The sequence below is a fragment of the Homo sapiens genome, chromosome 11 (assembly GCF_000001405.40).
Source record: "Homo sapiens chromosome 11, GRCh38.p14 Primary Assembly".
In the NCBI taxonomy this organism is placed as follows: domain Eukaryota; kingdom Metazoa; phylum Chordata; class Mammalia; order Primates; family Hominidae; genus Homo; species Homo sapiens.
In genome coordinates this window covers 43395293-43415508 of record NC_000011.10, presented here as the reverse complement: position 1 = coordinate 43415508, position 20216 = coordinate 43395293, and the positions used below count along the sequence as shown (strand labels likewise).

Below are 20216 nucleotides of genomic sequence, written 5' to 3'. Positions count from 1 at the left end.
CTAGATACTGAGGATCCACACGTATGTAAACTGCACCCATCCCAATTCAAGGCAGAGAGTTAAAATTCACGATTTTATTTTTTCTTATAGTGAAGGTTAAACAGAGAACCAAATATCATGTGATTCTTAGAAAGAAGGTTCTAATAACGAAAGTGCAACAGCTTTAGATATTAGCTTTACCCAGGTGGATACACCTATACACAGGCATATATGCCCATATATATGCTGTGGGAGGGAGTGGAAGAAGAGAAAAATATGCCACTTAATGTTGGGTCACTATATTAAAGGTAGAGTAAAGGTCTGAATCACCTTCAATGAAAGACAAGGAGCTGTATTTCAGTGACTGAGTATATAGAAGAACTGCTTCAATTAAAACTGTATACTTTGACTTCATGGACAGAAAAAATGTACTTTACTAGGAATGTCAGTTATTATAAAACACCAGAGATTTTGGAGGGAGGAAAAAAATCTCAAAGCCTATCCATCCCAGTTGAATATACCACATATTTTAGTTAGCCTTTCTTAACCAGAGTTCTAAGAGAGAATTAAGCCTTAATACCCTAAGGCATCTATAGTAAGTAAGGAATTAACATCTTTTCCTATGCATCTGGAATTATACTGGTTATCTAAAATCCTTGGGTAAAATAGAGAAAATCATTTTCTGTGTTCTTTTGATCAGAAGAGGAACTCTGGCTGAGCTCATTAGTTTGTCAGCATTTGAAAGCTGCTTACCACTGCAAACAGAAGAAGTGATGTTGTACAGAAAAGGATAAAACTGCATACAGCGGATCAACTTCAGGCTGTTTTCACACTCTGGACATTTGGTGGTTAATTTCAAGGCCTGTCTAAAGGCCTCAAGTGCCCCACTGATATTCTTCAGAGCAAGGTAAGCATTTCCCAGGCTCAAAAAGGTCAGAGGCTGAAAAGAAAAAAAAATCGGCAAAATGTTAATGAACTAATATTTTCTGGGAGTTACAAAACGTTTACAGTATATGGCTTTTGGCTCTTTTTAGGTTACCCCATAAACGTTATTGCTAACTATCCATTTTATTCATACCAGCCAATTCTAAACTGTATAATACATGTAAATGTGTTCACTTTTTTTGCTAAGATAAAAAATATATAAAGTATGTAATATAAATTATATATGTATATACCCCTGTAACCGCCACACTGCTCAAGATACTAAAATGTTTTCAGTACTCCAGGAGGTTCCCTTGGGCAATCCAACCCCAGAAGTAACCATTGTTGTGATGTGACTTCTGTCATCATAGTTCTTGAACTTCAGGTAAATGAAATCAAACTGCATGTTCTCCTATGAGTACATGTAATATGTGTCCTTTTGTAGCTTCTTTCACTCAATCTAAAATTCATTCATGCTTCTGTATACATCAGTAGCTCATTGTTTTTTAAGCTGATGTGTAATGTTCTAACATAAGAATACACCACAGCTTGTTCATCCGATTAGCAGTTGGGCTATTTCCACTTTCGTCTATTATGAATAAAGTTACTATGAATATTCTTGTAAATGTCTTGATAGGCACATTGTCCTCATTTTCTTTGAGTATATACTTAGCACAGGTTGTAAGGTAGATTTATATTTAGTTTTAGTAGATAACAACCAAATAGTCTTCCAAATGGATGCACAAATTTACACTCCTACCAGCAAGTGTGAGAATTCAGAGACTCTGTATTGTCAGTCTTTTTAATTTTAGCTATTTTAGTGAGCTGCAGTGGTGTCTAACTGTGGTTTTCCTTTGCATTTCCATGATGAGTAATAATGTTGAGGGTTTTTTTTTTTTCAGGTGCCTATTGGCCATTTGGATATCCTCATTTCTGAAGTGCCTGTTCTTTTCTCTATCTAAAGGAATTAGGTTGCCCTTAAGGCCTTGAAGGAGCTCTCTGTCTATATTATATATTAGTCTTTTGTTGAAAATATTTATTGCAAAAATCTTCTCTGTCTATGGTTTGTTTTTTTACTCTCTGAATAGTATCTTTTGATAAACAGAATTTCTTAATTTCAATGAAGTTCAGCTTATCATTTTTTTCTTTTATAATTAGTGCTTTTTGACATCTTTGCCTACTGCAAGGTCATAAAGACTTTCTCCTATGTCTTCATAAAGAAGGCTTATTGTTTTATCTTTCATATTTTGGTACATGATCCACTTCAAATTAATCCTGTGTATGGTGTGAGGCAGAAGTCAAAGTTCTTATCTTTCTCCATAAGGATATCATCCAATTATTCTAGCACTAACTTACTGAAAAACCAAAATGTTTTTTCCTCACTGAACTACAGGTACCCCTTTGTCATAAACCAGTGGCCATATTCATGGTGGTCTACTTCTAAATTCCCTATTATGTTCCATTGCTATGTTTGAGTATCTTTGTACCAATACCATACTCTTTTAATTATAGTAAATCTCAAAATCTGGTAATAAAAGCCTTCCAACTCTGTTCCTCCCCATCACCCTGCCCCCATTTGTGTGTGTGTGTGTGTGTGTGTGTGTGTGTGTGTGTGTGTGTGTGTCTATTCTAGGTCCAGTTCTATGTAGATATTAGAATCAACTTATCAATACACAAACACATATATGCAATTACTAGGTGTTTGACTGAGATTGAATTGAATCTATAAATTGATTTACAGAGATCTTACATCTGAACAATATTGACTCTCTCAATGTGTGAACATGATGTATATCTCCCTTTACAAGTTGAGTATCCCTTATCCAAAATGCCTAGAACCAGAAATGTTTTGGATTTCAGATTTTTTAACATCTTTGAATATTTTATTATATTTACTGGCTGTACATCCCCATCTGAAAATCCAAAATCCAAAATGCTCCAATGAGCATTTCCCTTGAGTGTCAGGTTGGTGCTCAAAAAGTTTTGAATTTTGGAATGTTTGGGATTTCAGATTTTTGAATTTAGGATGCTCAACCTGTACTTATGTCTTCTTTCTCTTAGTGATATCTTGTAATCAGTATATAAATATTGTATATCTTCTTTTAGGTTTATTCTTAGAAATCTGATGTTTTCTTTATTTCCTTTTTTTGAGACAAGGTCTCATTCTGTTGCCCAGGCTGGTCTGGAACTCCTGGGCTCAAGAGATCCTCCCACCTCAGCTTCCCAAGTAGCTAGGAGTACAGGTGCATACCACCACACTTGGCTAATTTTTTTTGACTTTTTTTGTAGAGAGTGGATCTCATTGTGTTGCCCAGGCTGGTACTGAGCTCCTAGGCTCAAGCGATCCTCCCCACTTAGCCTCTCAAAGTGCTGAGATCACAGGTGTGAGCCACCACAGCAGATCTGATGTTTTCTTGATGCTATTGTAAACAGTGTACTTTGTATGCTATTTTCCAATTGTTTGCTGAGACTTTGTTTTCATAAGCAGCCCAAAGTATTCAGTTTAGGTCATTTTAACTGAAATACATCTATAGTGTTTTTATATTTGCTTGTGTGCAAACCATATGTTTTAAATTTATTTTATTATTAAAAATAGTTAAAAAGATCTAAGAATGTTTTATTTTCAAACTGTACAATATATCCCTATGTAAAACAATGCTTATGATTTATCCAATTACCTGCTTTTGACTGGGGCTGTTAGATCATCAGAAATGTCTCACTGTAACCAAGCCAGAGGATAAAAAATATTCTAGATTAAGGAAGTCTAACCTAAGCAGCTCAGATTACATTCAAACTATTACTTAGTAATTCACACCCAGATACAAAATTAAATCCCATACTTAGACTTCAAATGTATCTTTATATTTTGCATAAGGAAACAAAGTGTTATAATTATCCCTATGACAAAATGACAGCTGTAAAAATATCCTGCATTGAGATAAACTGGTTAGCATTTTGGAAAAAAAGTTGAACTTCATCCCTTGAACGAAAAAATAAGTAGTGAGTATTTACTATGTTGCAGGCATAGTTTTGAACATTGAGGATACAGCAGAAAATAAGAAAGGTAACTGCTGCCTTCATAGACCTTACAGTCCAGTGTGGGGATGTCAGTGAGCAAAATGGGACGGAGAAAAATATAGAAGGAAGAAATAAAGGTAGCACTAGATTGTGGGGGGCGGGGGGAGTGCACCATTTAAAACAGAGTAGTATGAGAGGGACTTACTGAGAAGTTAGTATTCATAAGACTTCAAGGAGGTGGAGTAAGCAATGAAGAATATTGGTGGGATGAAGTACTCCAACCAGAGAGGATAGAAAATGCAAAAGACCTGAGGTAGGGGCATGCTTAGTATGTTCAAGGAACTACAAGGAGGCAAGTGAGGCTAGAATAGAATGTGCTAAGGAATGACTTCACAGAGATAAGGTCAGAAAAGTAACAAGGTCATGTAGGACCTTCTACATCATTACAAATTCGTATTTTCCCGTGAGTTCTATGGAGAGCCACTACAGGGATTTTGAGCCAACAAATAACAACATTTGACTTTTTATAAGGATTTCACTGTTGCTGTATGAGAACAGACTGGGGGACAATGGCAGAAGCAGAGAAACCAGTCTAGAGGCTATTAAAATAATCCAGACAAAAATAATTATGGTTTGGATGGGACAGCAGTAGAAGCAATGATAAATAGTAAAATCTGAGGTATATTTTGAAAACAGAATCAACAAGGTTAGCCAGTGGACTGAATTTTCCCTGAGAACAGGAGAAAGGTATGAAGGAAGCCCCTAAGTTTTTGGTCTGAGCAACTGGAAAGATAGCTTTATTATTTCCTGAAATGAGGAAGACTGGGAAGAATAAATTTGGAACAGCGTTAAGGAGTTTGGTTTTGGCCTTTTGTTCTAGAGCGCCCTTTAGACATCTAAGTGGAAATGTCAAGTAAGCTGTTGAATAAAGGAGTCTGGAGTTCAGGGCAAAGGTGACGGGTAATTCAACAGGAAAAGGGCAGTCTTCTCAAGATATGAAGCTGAAGAACTGGATATCCGTGTAAATATGAACTTTGATCCCTACCTCACACTACAAAGAAAATTTAACTTGAAATGAATCATAGACCTAATTGTAAAGCCTAAAACTATAAAATATCCAGGAGACGTCACAGGAAAAGATCTTTATATATTTGAGAGCCAACTATTCAAAGATTAAGCCATAGAAAACAAAAACAAACAGTTTATTGAGAACACTTGAAATCTAACAATAGAAATCAACATTGAAAAGACTGGCAAACTTAAGGGCAATTTTTAAATGCTAAGATAAAAAGGCAAAGAGAGAAAATATTTTTAACACATGAGAGATGGAGTTAAAGAGTTTATCATACAAAGGGTTTGCACAAAATCTAAAAAACAAAATTCTAAAATGAACAAAATGTGTATACAAACTTTTACTTTAAAAATACAATTACAAGGTTGGGCATAAGGGCTCACACCTGTAATCCCAGCACTTTGGGAGGTCAAGGCGGGCGGATCACTTGAGGTCAGGAGTTTGAGACCAGCCTGGCCAACATGTTTCTATTAAAATACAACCCTGTTTCTACTAAAAGTACAAAAATTAGCCGGGCATGGTGGTATGCACCTGAAATCCCAACTACTCCAGAGTCTGAGGCACGAGAAGAGCTTGAACCTGGGTGGCGAAGCTTGCAGTGAGCTGAGATCATGTCACTGCACTACAGCCTGGGTGACAGAGCAAGATTTTGTCTCAAAAAAAAAAAAGAAAAGAAAAAAGGAAAAAAGAAAAACAAAAACAACCACAAGATAAAACTTTACGTTACAACGGAGAGGTGGTATTTTTAAGCAAGCGAAACTTGTTTTATAAATGTTAATTCAGAGGTAGTATAACACGACTAGAGTATTTGCCCTGTGGCCAATCTCCCTGAGTTCAAAACCAAGCACCAAGCTCTGTGACTTCCCATAAATCCCTTACTCTGTACATTTAACTCTTAAGAGTTTCCTCATCTATCAAAGGGGAAATTCCATCTCACAGGGTTGTTATGAGGATTAAATTAGTTACTACATGTAAGATGCTTAGTATTGTGCCTGGCTCTAGTAAACAATCAAAAAAATTGGCAGTTATTTCAGTTGTTCAATTCTAATAAAGACACAGGTGGAATTAATATTTTTAGACCTTATTCATGGCAATATATACTGGCCCAACCATTTTAGTGGGTTGTTTGGTATTTTGTGCCAGAGCCATCAAAATATTCATTCTCTTATTGACTTAGTAATTCCACTGCTAACAATCTTTAAGGCCTTTGCAGAAAACCATCATTGATAATAGCTAAGTACTGTTAGCAACCTAAATATGCAGCAACAGAAAAATAGGTTGTGGCATATCAATTCATTGGTCCTTTATACAACCATTTAAATTGAGGGCTTTAAAATTAGGTAGGAATAAGTTTTTTAGAGATCACCTGTACAGTAGAGTTGAAACATTATGAAATATTTGTATAGAAGACATGCTTATAAGGAAAAATTTCCAAAAGTTGGGAAGAGGGTGCTGATTAAGGAACATTTTTGGGGCCGGGTGTGGTGGTGCATGCCTGTAATCCCATCACTTTTGGAGGCTGAGATGGGAGGATTGCTTGAGCTCGGGTGTTCAAGACCAGCCTTGGCAACATGGTGAAACCCCATCTCTACAAAAAAATACAAAATTCAGCCATACGCAGTGGTGCATGCCTGTAGTCCCAGCTACTAGGGAGGCTGAGGTGGGTGCACTACTTGAGCCTAGGAGGTGGAGGCTGCAGTGAGCCGTGACCACGCCACTGCACTCCAGCCTGGGCAACAGAGCAAGAACCTGTCTCAAAGAAAAAAAAAAGGTATATTTTTGGGGTACCCACCCTGATCCATTAATTTATCTTTTTATTCTTATTGTAGCACCATGGTATTTAACAACTAAAATTTTAGTATGATTTTAAAATATCAAAAGGTAACTGATCACTAAAGGAGGTCTTTTTTCTTCAGAAGAATACTACCTAAGTCCCTTGGCTGAAAACAGTAAAAAGGGAATCATGAAAAGTTTCAAGGGAATACGGCTGCATTGCGCTTTCCATTGCCCACTTTATCACATCTGTTCCCACTGTACCAGCACCTGGTACACAGTAAGCACTAGATAAATATTTGATGTACTTCTCTGGCAATGTGACCTGTTACATAATATTGAGATTGTAAACTTCTGCTTAAAATCCAGTTGTGAATTTCTGTATTTCAAAAGAAAACAGGCAATATTTTCTTCTCATCCTTAAAAAATCAGTTTTCAGACACCATAAATAAACCTCAACCATTCATGCACATCCCTTCTGAAGGTTTCTTTGAATACAAAACCTATAAACATTTAGACATTAGGTATAAAATCAATTTAATTGTATATTTATTATAACTGAATTTCATGAAACCTAAAATGACAGCAATTATAACATCCATCCTGATATCAGAGATGTTAAAATATGAAAAACCAAAGTTGTATCTTCAAAACCATGAACTACAAAGCACTGATGTAACTCCATAAGCTGCATGTGAGAGGTTTGGGGCATGAAAATCAATGTATCTATTTATTCTTATCAAAACCACCTTTGAACTGTCCTCTGGCTTGAAGGGTATAAATATTTCTATAAATTAAAGTTGTAAAACAGTGTAATATTAAGCAGTGTGCATGCTGTGATGAGTAGGATAAAATACAAACCAGATGTTTCAGACAGACATAAAAAAGCGGCAGTATATTTTTACAGCTTATGTTATTCTTATTTAAATGTAAGTTTCCAAAAAAAAAAAAACTTAACTGTGTAATTATAAATTTCACTCAAAATTTAAAGAACACATCAAAATACAACAAAAGCTTTTTCACACTCTCTTGAAATAATGCAAACGCTACTGTGAAAGACAAAACATGACATTTTTTATGCTTTCCCTAGAAAAATACAAATTGTAATCTAAATTTGAGTTACCCTACATAGTATACGGAACTATGAAATCCCTTAAAACCTCACCTCAGAGCTATTGATGGCCAAAGCTTGAAGTAGCAGCTTAGTGGCATCAAGATGAAGGCCGTAATGAATCAAAAGGTTGGCCAAGTTGACAAGAGGAACATCTTGGTATTGAAGTGGAGCTAAATTCAAAGCCCTCTGAAGACAGGCAATAGCAAAAGTGCTATTTCCTACTGCTCTCCAGTATAGTCCAGCTTCATTGAGTATGAGCCAGATAGGAGCATTTGGCTGAAAAATCCAAAAATACTTCAGTTAGTACAAGAATACAGTACTTGTTCTAAATAAGATTTTTAATAAGTGCATTTTAACTTTTACTTATAATTAAGAAGCATTTAAGTTTTAGATGTCTAAAGTAAATGACTCACCTTATTAATAGCATGAAATAAGAAAGACCCAATTTCTTCTTCTGGGATAGTATAGTTATTAATACGGGAAAGCAAAATCTGAAACATCAAAAGGAAGACTGACTCAATTGAAAATAACAGGGAAGACATTTGAAAAGAATTTCTATAGATGGCAGTCTTTTCTTAAGCTCCTCAGGAACAGCTAATTTGAACAAATATTTATGATCATATATATGACATAAATTCATTCACATACCAACAGGTGTTGACCTGCTCACATGTATGTAATAGTTTAACTAAAAAGTTAAAAAGACATATATACCCCCACACATTAAAGTAACCTACCATACCCCATTAAAGTCAGCCTAAGTGTTCAGAACCCAAGAAGAAATTATTCAAAAGACAACAGCATGCAATATCTGATGTAATAAAAATCTACTGTCTTTCCTTCCTGGAAAATACCAGATACTCAATTATTCTACTTCATGTTCCTGCAGCATTTATATAACGGTAAACAACTCTAAGGCACAGATCATGGTCTGTTTATCTTTTTGTATTCCTAGCATCCAAAACAATGTCTGGCACATAATGTTTTTTGCCTAAGGAAATGTCTATTGAATATAAGTAACAGTAAGTGCCTATAGTTTTGAAATTAACTTAAAAAAAAAAAGGTGGTTGTGATGGTCTGTGATTGCTAAAAAGGTAATTTTTTTTTTCATTTTTATCTATGGAATGATATCTAATATGGTAATATACAGTAATAAAACACTCGTAGTTATATATAATTAATAGGAATTTAGGAAAAGAGCATAATTGAACTTCTAATGTTTGCAGAGTCATTATCAAATTAATATAAATTCCTATGGACCTCATATAAGGTCACAGCAGGGTTGATAAGGCCAGAGAGAGATTCTTCAAGCTTTCAATTTATATACACTTCTGGAGGCCTGGAGGATGCAAAGCTAACTTTTAGTGGTTGCAATGGCCTGCATTACACCAACTCCATTAGATAACAGAGAGTTCTGTGCTACTCATCTTTGAAGTGCTCTGCGTTAGAGGAATAGTGTTTAGGTGATCTACGTATAGCAGCCCCGAGGAACTCTCTGGCACTCCTTTAATAGCATGACTGACTTCGCCATCATTTCACCAATTCTTTAACTCTATCCTTCCATTTTATACACTTAAAGCTCAACAGCTACCTTCTATCAATTTTTTGTTCCATTTAAGAGGCTTCTGAAGTCACCCAGAATGGACGGCAATAAATACCAGCCTAAGTGAGCCTTACTTTTCGTGCATGGTCATCTGGCATTTTGGCTTTCAGATCCATGCGAACCTCTAATTCTTTGACTAAGTAGGACAGAGTGTGGCTTTTTCTGAAGTCAGTTATGGAACAGTCAGGGGTTTGGGCCTCTTCTTCTGTAGAATAATCATCACTGCTGAGTTCGTGGATCCTGGCACAAGAAAAAGGAACAAGATTCATATTTTCAAAGTTTGGGTGACTTCAAGATAAAGACTTAACTTTTCAAGTCCAAGGCTGGTGCTCTCAAAGAACCGCTAGATGACAATCATGCAGAATCAGGTGCTTTGCCAAATCCATCACCACTTGCCTGAGTCCTTTGTTTTCCGGAGGCAGAAAATACGTTGGCAATTCCCCACCAACAGGGACTCTAGGGTAGCTTTCTGTACAATCTGCTCTTTTAGGCCATAGAATATGCTGTTTGTCCTGATAAAGAAACAAAATTTCTCATAAATTTCTTTGGATTCAATATTTCAATATGCTAAATAAACTTTTAAAATGATATACTACAATAATTGAACAAAACTATAATATCTTAAGATTATGGTAGACTCTATAATATTCCTGCTACTGCAGATTATTAATCTAAGTCAGTAATTCTACCTGCTTTACCACAGACTGGTTCAGGGTTGGGCGGGTATAAGCCAGTTGAGCCAGTGAGACACAAGAAGAGGCTTGCTTGGGGCTTTTCGGAAAGAGAAGCAAGTCTTAGGCTCTTACGTTACATATGAACAAAAAATCATGTTGTTCCAGTTGCTGCTGGCTGTCATGACCATGAAAAAAACCAAGCTTTTGGATGAAACCAATACTGTGGATGGCAGAGTGAAGAAAAAAAAAAAAAAAAAGAAAAAGAAGAAATGGGTCACTGATGACATCACTGGGCCACTGAATCAACCAAACCTGAAGTTTATCCTATTTCTGGACTTCCTGTAGTAACAGGCACATTTTCTTTGTATTTAATTTGAGGTGGAGCTTATGACTTGTACCTGAAAGCATACATAAGCCTATAAAACCTGGCATTGAACACTACTTTTCCCTGAACTAAGGTCTTTTCTTTGCCAATGCCAAAGTTTAACAATTGTTTTATGATTTGTAAAATGTTAATTTTCTCTAAAAATAAATAAGATGTACCAGAGGCTTACTAAACTTAAATCTTCAAGCTATCAAACTTTGAGGGATTTATATTAAATATAATTAAATCTAAGTGGCTGTTTAATTCTGTTAAACCCTTGATTAAATTCTGAAAATTTAATGGTGAATAAAAAGCACACAGTCTCTGTCCTCATACCTTGGTATCCGCCTCAGCTAACCTACAATTCTTTCTTAGCTAGTCTAGACAGGCACATGTACTAACTTGTTTATTGTCTGTATCATCTACCAGAATGTAGGCTCCAGAAGAGCAAGGGGGCTTATCTATTATACTGCCAGCATTAGCCTGGCACACAGGTGGGAGTTCAATAAAAGAATGCCGATTAAGTGAAGTATATAAAAACATACGCTTGGGTCAAGTTTAGAAACTTGTTAAGGTTGGTAATAATACTCAGAGGATAAAGCTTTGAACTGAAATCAGGGTGTCTATCTGCTCTACTTGACTGGGAAAAACTCAAGGCAGAAATTGCATCTTACTCATTCACTACCTAGCAGAATAGCTTCCATTTAATAGAAATGTACTACACGTTTGCTGAACTAATCTGAACAGTCATAGAGGCCATATTAATCAGTGAGGTTGAGGGCCACTGCTTTAATGGATCTTGCCAGTTTGAGAAAACTGCTTCGTCATCCTCTATTAACTTACCCTATATGCATCAGAGTCCCTGCCCCAAATCCAGAGAATAGAATGGGCTACGGGAGAAGACTTGACCGAATCATTGATATCACTCTGATTTGATTGAACATCAAAGTTCACAGACATCATACTGGAGGTTGATGAATCCTCACCAAACTAGAAAATGAAACAAAAAGTTCAATCAAATTGAAAGTGGAAAAGGAGTTGTGATTATAATTTAACTCACACCAAAAAAGCGAGTGAATATTCAAAATTAGTAGAAAATCAGAAAGTAGCTCAGTAATAAAGCAATTGGATCTTTTAAGAACTATGCCCCAACGATATTCTTTCATGGATAATACATAGTTAACAACTTTCAATAACTTTGCCATTGGAGTATGAGAAAAATGGCATAGGTCGTTTTCCTGTCCCTTTGCTTCATTTTTATGATTTAGTCTCTTTAGGTTAATAATTAGCTAATTGAGAAATCTGGTTCATTATTCCCCTTTTCTTCCTACACTAAAATGCTCACCACTCTAAAATTGGTGTGCCGTGTGTGGGTAGAGGCGAGGGAACTTAAGAAAGTATTCTTAAGGGTTCTATAACTATCACTTAAGGATTACAGACTGTTGTGCAATCAATTACAAAGAAAAGTTTTGAGGGTGAAAGGGTAACCTAGATGAGAGAACACAAACATATACAGCCTTCCTTCAAAGCAAGGTGGAACAATGTTGGATATACTTACAAAGATGCTTGTGTATTTCTGAAACCTTGCTAGATAATGAGAATGGGACTGGGGATGGGATGGGGTAGGAAAGACAAAAGGAAAAGGAATGAATATGACGAATTTGTAGCTCTAGGTCTTTGTGAACAGGAATGGATTCTTTCACTATATAGTGGTGATACAATTTTATGAATATAGACTATTGGAAGCTACACTCCTTCAAATGATCGGTCTTGAGACCATCAAAAAGTCCAAAAGGTGTATTGGGTTTCAATCTATTTCATTTCTAAACATCCCCCTTCTTCCCTTTAAAATGCTTGGTTTTAAGATAAAGAGCTATAATCCCAGAGGGTGTGAATCTGGTCTTCTTTATTTTTTCCCTTGGAAACCAAACATGAGATATTGCTGGGAGCTGGTTTACAATACTCATAGGAAGCTTTTGGTCCCTATCACTATTTCCCCTTTAAAATGGCTTCTTAATTTTTGTCTCTTATTTTTTCCCAATGCAGTCTGGATTTTTCCAGATTAAAGAGTTCTAAGTTTTTGTGGTTTGTCCTCCTATAGATGCTCTCCTAATCTCTTAGTTATCTTAAGTAGTTATTGCTGGAAATTTCTGTATCTACGATTAGACATGATGAGTTTTCTCTAAGATAGAATAAATGTTTTATTTCTAATACAGGTTGAGTATCAGTTTTCTGAAATGCTTAATCAGGAGTATTTCAGATTTGAGATTTTTTTGGATTTTGCAATATTTTATTACACTTACCTGTTAAGCATCCCAATCAAAAAATGTGAAATCCAAAATGCTCCAATGATCATTTCTTTTGAGCATCATGTCAGTGCTCAAAAAGTTTCAGAGTTTGAATCTTTTTTTTTTATACTCAGAATTCTGGCTGTACTTGCTGTCTGTACCACTTATTCAACATCTATTATATACTATCTGGTATCATTACATGTGTTAGTTCTTCCCAACTAGATAGATTAGGATTGTATATGTGTATGTGTGTGTGTATACACGTGTGTATATACAGCGACAGAAAGTGAGAGAAAGTACACACCTAGCAGTGGGCTTAATAAAGATTTTCTGTTGATAATGAGCATTTTGTTGGTGGTATTGGTTGAGGCAATATAATTGGACTGATTACTTCAGGAAACAAATAGCATGGTTGCTCTCAAATTTTAAATAGGTCTTACTCTAAAAGGGAAAGTGGGGAGATGAAAGCTTTGAGTTCAATAATAATAATAGCCCAATTCTAGCTCCCATGGTAAAAGAGAAAAGAATCAAATGCATGTGCATATAAATATTTAGATGGTACTTTAAGAAATAGAAAGCATCCATGGAGTTATTGAGTACTCCCTATAAAATCTGACTTCGTAAACATAACAACATAACAGATAATCAAAATCTCTCTCTCGCTCTTTATTTATTTATTTATTTATTTATTTATTTATTTATTTATTTATTTATTTTTTGAGACACAGTCTTGCTCTGTTGCCCAGGCTGGAGTGCAATGGCATGATCTGGGTTCACTACAGCTTTGACCTCCAGAGCTCAGATGATTCTCCCGCCTCAGCCTCCCGAGTAGCTGGGACTACAGGTGCATGCCACCATACCTGGCCAATTTATATATGTTTTTGTAGAGATGGGGTTTCACCATGTTACCCAGGCTGGTCTTGAACTCCTGGGCTCGTGATCCTTCTGCCTCTGCCTCCCTAAGTGCTGAGATTACAGGCGTGAGCCACTGTGCCCAGCCTCAAAATCTTAAAGATCTAAATGACAATCACAAATTTTAGGGATCAAATATACAAAGAATCAAGAGGAAAAACAAAAGTTTTAAAAAATCTTTATAAAGCAAACGTTTATAAGAATTAGACTGGACCAAGAAAAAGACCTGAACATAGTCCACATTTTCAAAGATATCTCCACGATGATAGCGTACAGGCTGGTCCCACTGGCAATGTAAACTATGCTGCTGGTTGACCAGTCGGCATATCTGATGATTTCCTGGAATAAGAAAGGAAATTACACAAATGATGAGCAAGGTCAACAATGCCAATGTGATTTTCTTAGACTAAGTCATTTAGTATCAACCCTGTATCCCTCAGAGCCTAGCAGGCTACTTACGTAGGACGTACTTATATAGAGAAATATTCATTAATGGTTAATCAAATAAATCATTCTAAGAAGTCCCAGTTTTTCCACCTACAAAAACAAAGGGACTCCACTAGATGATTACTGAGGTATCTTTCAGCAATTATAGTCTGTGATTGTAAAATCTAGTGATTACATCGTTTTAAGAGACTTTGGCCATCTTTCTGGAGAGAATTTGCTTTACATACTTCATAATTTTGTTTCAAATGCATATATAAGAGCTCTGGTTACATTTCAATATACTGGGCAGTAAGTAATTCCAAAGACTGAGCATACTCTTTACACTCATAATAGCAAAGAAAACTTGTTAAGGGAATTGTAAAATAAACTATAAATGGTCACAGCTAAGTGCCAAAGGTTAAGAGGCTTTCTTGACCAACATACTTATCAAGGGAGAAGGGTATAATTAAGAGATTCTATTAATTTATTCTCTGTTATTGAGTTGTCAGATCTGCTCCCTTGTCATTAGAAACAAAACATTCTAGATATAACCAAATCATTGTTCTCATGCCAACCCAAGTTCCTATAAACCAGTGGTTCTATTTTTATGGATCACAGATGCTTGAGAGATTTTAATAAAAGCTAGATACCCTCTTCCCAGAAAAATAAAATTGGACACATACACAATTCTACATATAATTTTGGAGAGGATTTCAGAACCCCCTGAAACTAATCCATTGACCCAGGTTAAGAATTCCAGTCTAAAATTTTACTTCTAAAACACTGTTTTTAAGAGAGCAAGAAAAAAAGGAGTATGGATGGGTTGTTTGTAGGGTGGGTCTGGCTTGTATTCACTTAGTGTAAGGCCTTGTTACCCATAGTGCAGAGTTTTTAGACCTGCGGCAACAAGCATCACCTGGGAGCTTATTAGGAAGGCAGACTCTCAGGCCTCAATTCAGACCTACTGAATCATAATCTGCATTTCAACAAGATCTCCAGGAGACTGATATGCATATTAGGGTAGGAAAAAAAACTGATGTTGAACACAGAATGCAAATAACTGTTAAGACTTCTAGGATCTACAAGACTTGTTTTTTATTTCAAAATGTAAATTTGAAAAAAGCAAGGTAGACCAAACCAGCTCCCCAGGCCTCCTGGTATACCCACAGTGATGAATCATGCTTTCGAGATGTAGGGAAGTCATAAACACAACTTCACACTGCTTTAAGGCTACAAGAAAGTTATGATAGTAAAGCATGCTAAAAGTGAATTTCCTAACCTGTCTTCAATTACTTGGAGTCACTACTTACCTAATTGTGCCTCTTTTGCCATCTGAGTCTCATGAATGATATTTCTTAAGATTTGCTCCTCCTGAATCAGTTTATGTTTTTCTAGGATTTCCTGCTGTCTCAGGTAGTGGTCATGCTGCTTTTGATACTCTTTTAACTCATTCAGTGTTCGCTGGAGAGATCTTAACATTTTTTAATACCAGGAAAAAGTTAGAGCTATAAAATCATAAATTTTAAACCCACTTAAATGCACAGATTTTTCTGGTTCTCAGCAACAATTACTGTGTGTTTTCCTTTTATTTAACATACAACCCTGTATCACCAGTTCAAGAATACTAGGGCAAAAAGATAAATGTGAAATTCTTCCTTTAAATACAACTTTTTTAAAAAATGGGGTCTTGCTCTGTTGTCAAGGCTGGATGGAGAGGCCTGATTGTAGCTCACTGCAGCCTTGTACTCTTGGGCTCAACTCCTGGGCTCAAGGGGTCCTCTTGCCTCAGTCTCCTGGGGAGTATCTGGGACTACAGGCACACGCCACCATGCCTGGCTAATTTAGTTTTAGAAACTGGGTCTTGCTGTGTTGCCCAGGCTAGATTTGAACTCCTGGCATCAAGTGATTCCTCCCCTCCACCCTGCCTCAGTCTCCAGAATAACTGGGATTACAGGCATCAGCCATGACACCTGGCAATACAACTATCATGACATCAAATGGTATATTGCATTTTTCAGGTGCCATAAAAAAATACATGACGATATACAAGTTTATGTATTTAACAACTCTATTTCTCTCTACAAAATTTGCATTAGTTCCATCAACATTCAAAGTCTTTCTAGAATCCTTTCCTCCTTTTCACTTTTTCCCTAGATTCTGCTTAAAGACAAAGTTAAGAGTTAGGGGCCACAGTACTTTGCTTTCATACTCTAGCTTATTGGTTACAGGCCAGGAAAAACTACAGAAACTATGCTTCGAAAGGAATATGCTTCACCACCTGATTTCAGTAAATCAGCTGCCTGATTACATTTAATCAGAAAACCCATACTGCCTATTACACACTGTAACATACAGAGATTTTAGGAACTATACAGATTGTGTAAAGATAGAGCCAGCTCAATTATTAAGAGCATGATACTGGAAAAAGCTCAGCCAGGTATAACAGAAACCAGTTATGAATAAGCAAGCTGGCATCCTTTTTACTTCCTACCACATTATGCCTTAAAAAGATTGGAAAAGAAGCAAATACAAAAGTTTAATGAGTTCTAAATCTCTGTTTAATTCTCTACTAACCAAAGTAAACTCAAATATTACAGCTAATTCTGAGATATGAAAAATTCACTTCTGAGTTAACATGAAGTTTCTTAACTAGCCCTACTGATTGAAGGAAATGTTTTTTAACTTATTATACCTCAAGGATCAAATACAATAGAATTCCATTACTGTACAACCTAACACACAATCATGATTAAAACGTGGGCCAAATAATGTCTCTCAATGCCATTTAACTACCTTAACAATAACTCAACCCTAGGAGCCACCACCTCTCTCCAAGAGGAGAAATATCAACTATTGCACATGTAAGTGATTTTACTGAAACTTAGTATATTCTATGCAAATAAAAATGCAGTCAACAAAGTAAGTAGTCAACTAAGTATCCCAGTCTCCCCACCCCAACTGACTTCATAAAAGTAATCAATGGTCAAAATTGTAAACATTTAAGTGACAGCTTTTACTACAAATATTCTCTAGTTGCAGGAATCCATACAATTAAAGATATTCCTCTACACAACCACTGAATTGTGCTAAACCACCAGGACTTACAGAAAAAGGATAGGACTTGCAGTAGTGAAGAGGTTTCTTTCTTAATTCCAGTTACCAAATTAACACTGATATCCCCTACACAGATTTAACCTAAGGTTCGATAGTGCTAATGCTTGAGTGAAATTTTTCCTCTCAATTACCTATGCTGAGCCTCCAATTTCTGCTCCAGTTTTTGCTGACATAGGACAGCATGCTTCCTCTTTATAGCTTGCTCAAACCCAGGTCTGGCCTGCAAAGCGTGGTCATAACAGAGCACTGAGTGGTTATATTCCCCAAGCATCTGAAGAGACAAAAACAAACATACACACACACACACACACACACACACACACACACACACACACACACACACGGAAAAAAAAATGTTAGCCACGGCCTGGTTGCATCTGTCCAAATCCTCTAATGATTTATGAGATCACACCTACCTCTTACTCTACAGTGACCATTATTTTGATCAGTGACCAGATCCCTACAATATTAAGGCATACTATAGGATGGTTTAGTTGGCAGGTATTGCTAACCTTAAAAGGTGTACCCTGTAGAAGTTTAAAATTCCAATTTAATTATTATTATTGTTTTTTTGGCAAGAGGCTAGAATAATTACATTACTGTGTTGAGGATTTTTCTTCCTCCTAATTTCATTTCCATCGTTCAGACCAAAAAAGGAATGGAAAAAAGTAACATTCTACTGAGGGGGGAGAAAAAAAAAAAAAAAAGAAAGTGGCAACTAGCATGACTCATGAAACAAAGAGTAGTACTTACTGCATATATATTCCCCAAAGTGTAATAGCTGGTGAAGAAGTCACTGTCATCCAGAGCTGCATGGACCACGACAGCAGCATCAGCAGAGAAGTGTGCTCTGTGTAGAACGTTTGCCAGGTTGACCAGGGCAATGTCTTTATTGTGCCTAAGGAAAGCAGCACATATTCCATGATTATGTAGAACCACTTGACAAGGAAAAATGACATTCAAAGTTACTTGTGCTTAGGAAACTAAGATATAGGTGGAGAAAATAAGATAATCATAGTGTTTCATTTTTAAATTATTGATGGCTCTTAATCTGATAGCTACAAATTTTGTCACTAAAATAAGGTATTGCAGACACTGTATGATTTTACAATTTATTTAGGGCTTATATTTGCTTTAAGAAAAGTTAAACTTAGTTTATGATAATTCCATTCAAGTATCATGTGAATCATAGGGCATCTACATATTTTTTCCTTAATGGAAATGGAAAGTATATTACACAATTATCACTTTGAACTTTTTGAGATCTGTGATTTTTTTTTTTTTTTTGTGGTGGGACTTATTTCTTTGAACAGGGATGGAGAAAAGTATATAATGCAATGTTGCTTCTTACTGCTTTCTTATGTATTGTTTCTTTAACAGTCCTGAGGAATGTGGAAAATCAGGTCCAGAAGAGGAGGAATCTTACCTGGAAGAGAAGTGAAGTGCTCGCATGGCACATTCTACTACCTGATATGGCTCATTCTTAATTCTCCAGTAAAATGAAGCCATGTTATACAGTACCCACGAGGAAGTGTTCTAGAGATTAAAAAAGTAAAATTACAAACACGACTCAAGACAGTTTAACTTAGAATACTCAAAAGGAGCACCTTTAATATTCTGGCTCTTCTGAAATTCAAGATGAAGAAGAGCCAGACTGAATGATAAGCAATGATAAAGAACAGGACACAGTGCAAAGAAACTATACCTGTCAGAAGAGCATTCTAATCATCAGCTGAGCACGTGCATTAGGGTGTGATCTTCATATAGAGACCATCCAACTCCAGCTTATTCCAAGAGGGAAATAAGAAAAATCCCACCAACTGATCACAACTTGTTGAGCTCTATTTCAGGACTTCAGAAGTTAAGTCAGAAGACCTCATCTACTTAGAAATAGCTCTAACATGAAATTCCTGAAATTAACATTTTAGAATTTTTTCTATTTATGTAATATCTGAGTGAAGGCACAAACCAACAGGCTTACTCTAAACATAAAGACAGAAAAAAAAAAAGGAAAAAGGGCCAAAAACATGAACAAACAGCTAAGAAGTATGTAAAATGTGTAACTTCACAAAGAAATAGAAACTTAAAAGATACAAGTTTTCCTTTTACAAAGTGGCAAAGACTAAAAAGAAAGCCAATACTTACTGAATATTATTAACTTTAGATATTAAACTATAGAAATGCTAAGTTACTATAGCATTTCTGGGGGACAATTTGACATGTATGTAAAAAGCTTTAAAAATGTAATGTATATTACATTATCATACATATTAATGTATATTACATTTACCCTTTGACTCCCACAATTCTACTATTAAAAATGTATCCTATGGGGAATAATTACGTTTTAACTATAAAGCTGTGTAAAAATCAAACTCCAAAAGAATATATTACAAACCAGTTTTGAAATTATTAATTTTACTTTCTTTTATAGATTTTCAGTGACTCTTTCACAAGGACCAATTATTTTTAAAAGAGTTATTTTAATGTAGTTAAAAATAGTTTGAATTTAGTTAAACGTAGCTTTTTAAGACTACAATAAGTACAATCCTGCATTATTCATCCTTAAGTATTCTATCTTCAAGAAAAGTATGTGATTTTTGAGTGATGCAATTACAGATTTTAACACTATGAGCAGATCAACTATGAACTTCTACTTGAAGCTGGTTAAAGGACAGTACATTCTTCACAACTGACTTGTGGCCGAGGTTTCAGTTTTCTTTTTGATGGCCTTTTGAGAAAGTTGTTTTTCAAATCAACAAATGCTTTCATTTTGATTTTCATCTTTTATTTTCACATTATAATGTAAACGGGGACAAAAAGTTCAATTAAAAGTTCTACATGAGGCCGGGCGCGGTGGCTCATGCCTGTAATCCCAGCACTTTGGGAGGCCTAGGCGGGTGGATCACGAGGTCAGGAGATCGAGACCATCCTGGCTAACATGGTGAAACC

At 35.9% G+C, this 20216-nt stretch overlaps 1 protein-coding gene across 12 annotated transcripts in view; it reads right to left on the bottom strand.

Annotated features, from left to right (window-relative positions):
- TTC17 (tetratricopeptide repeat domain 17) overlaps window positions 1-20216 on the bottom strand; it is a 136012-nt gene that overhangs the window by 79423 nt on the left and 36373 nt on the right. For 10 of the 12 annotated variants that reach the window (NR_164823.1, NR_164824.1, NM_001376525.1 and 7 more), the window contains 11 exons: window positions 18691-18800; window positions 18018-18162; window positions 17396-17535; window positions 15461-15621; window positions 13951-14063; window positions 11365-11511; window positions 9880-9995; window positions 9558-9723; window positions 8294-8371; window positions 7932-8156; window positions 733-919 (listed from right to left, as the gene is read on the bottom strand). Coding sequence is in view for 10 of the 12 variants with exons in the window: in NM_001376525.1 (NP_001363454.1) it covers window positions 733-919; window positions 7932-8156; window positions 8294-8371; window positions 9558-9723; window positions 9880-9995; window positions 11365-11511; window positions 13951-14063; window positions 15461-15621; window positions 17396-17535; window positions 18018-18162; window positions 18691-18800 (1588 nt within the window). In the remaining 2 variants the exon portion in view is untranslated. The remainder of the gene's footprint in view (window positions 1-732; window positions 920-7931; window positions 8157-8293; window positions 8372-9557; window positions 9724-9879; window positions 9996-11364; window positions 11512-13950; window positions 14064-15460; window positions 15622-17395; window positions 17536-18017; window positions 18163-18690; window positions 18801-20216) is intronic. The other 2 variants (NM_001376527.1, NM_001376528.1) reach the window with 2 other exon arrangements.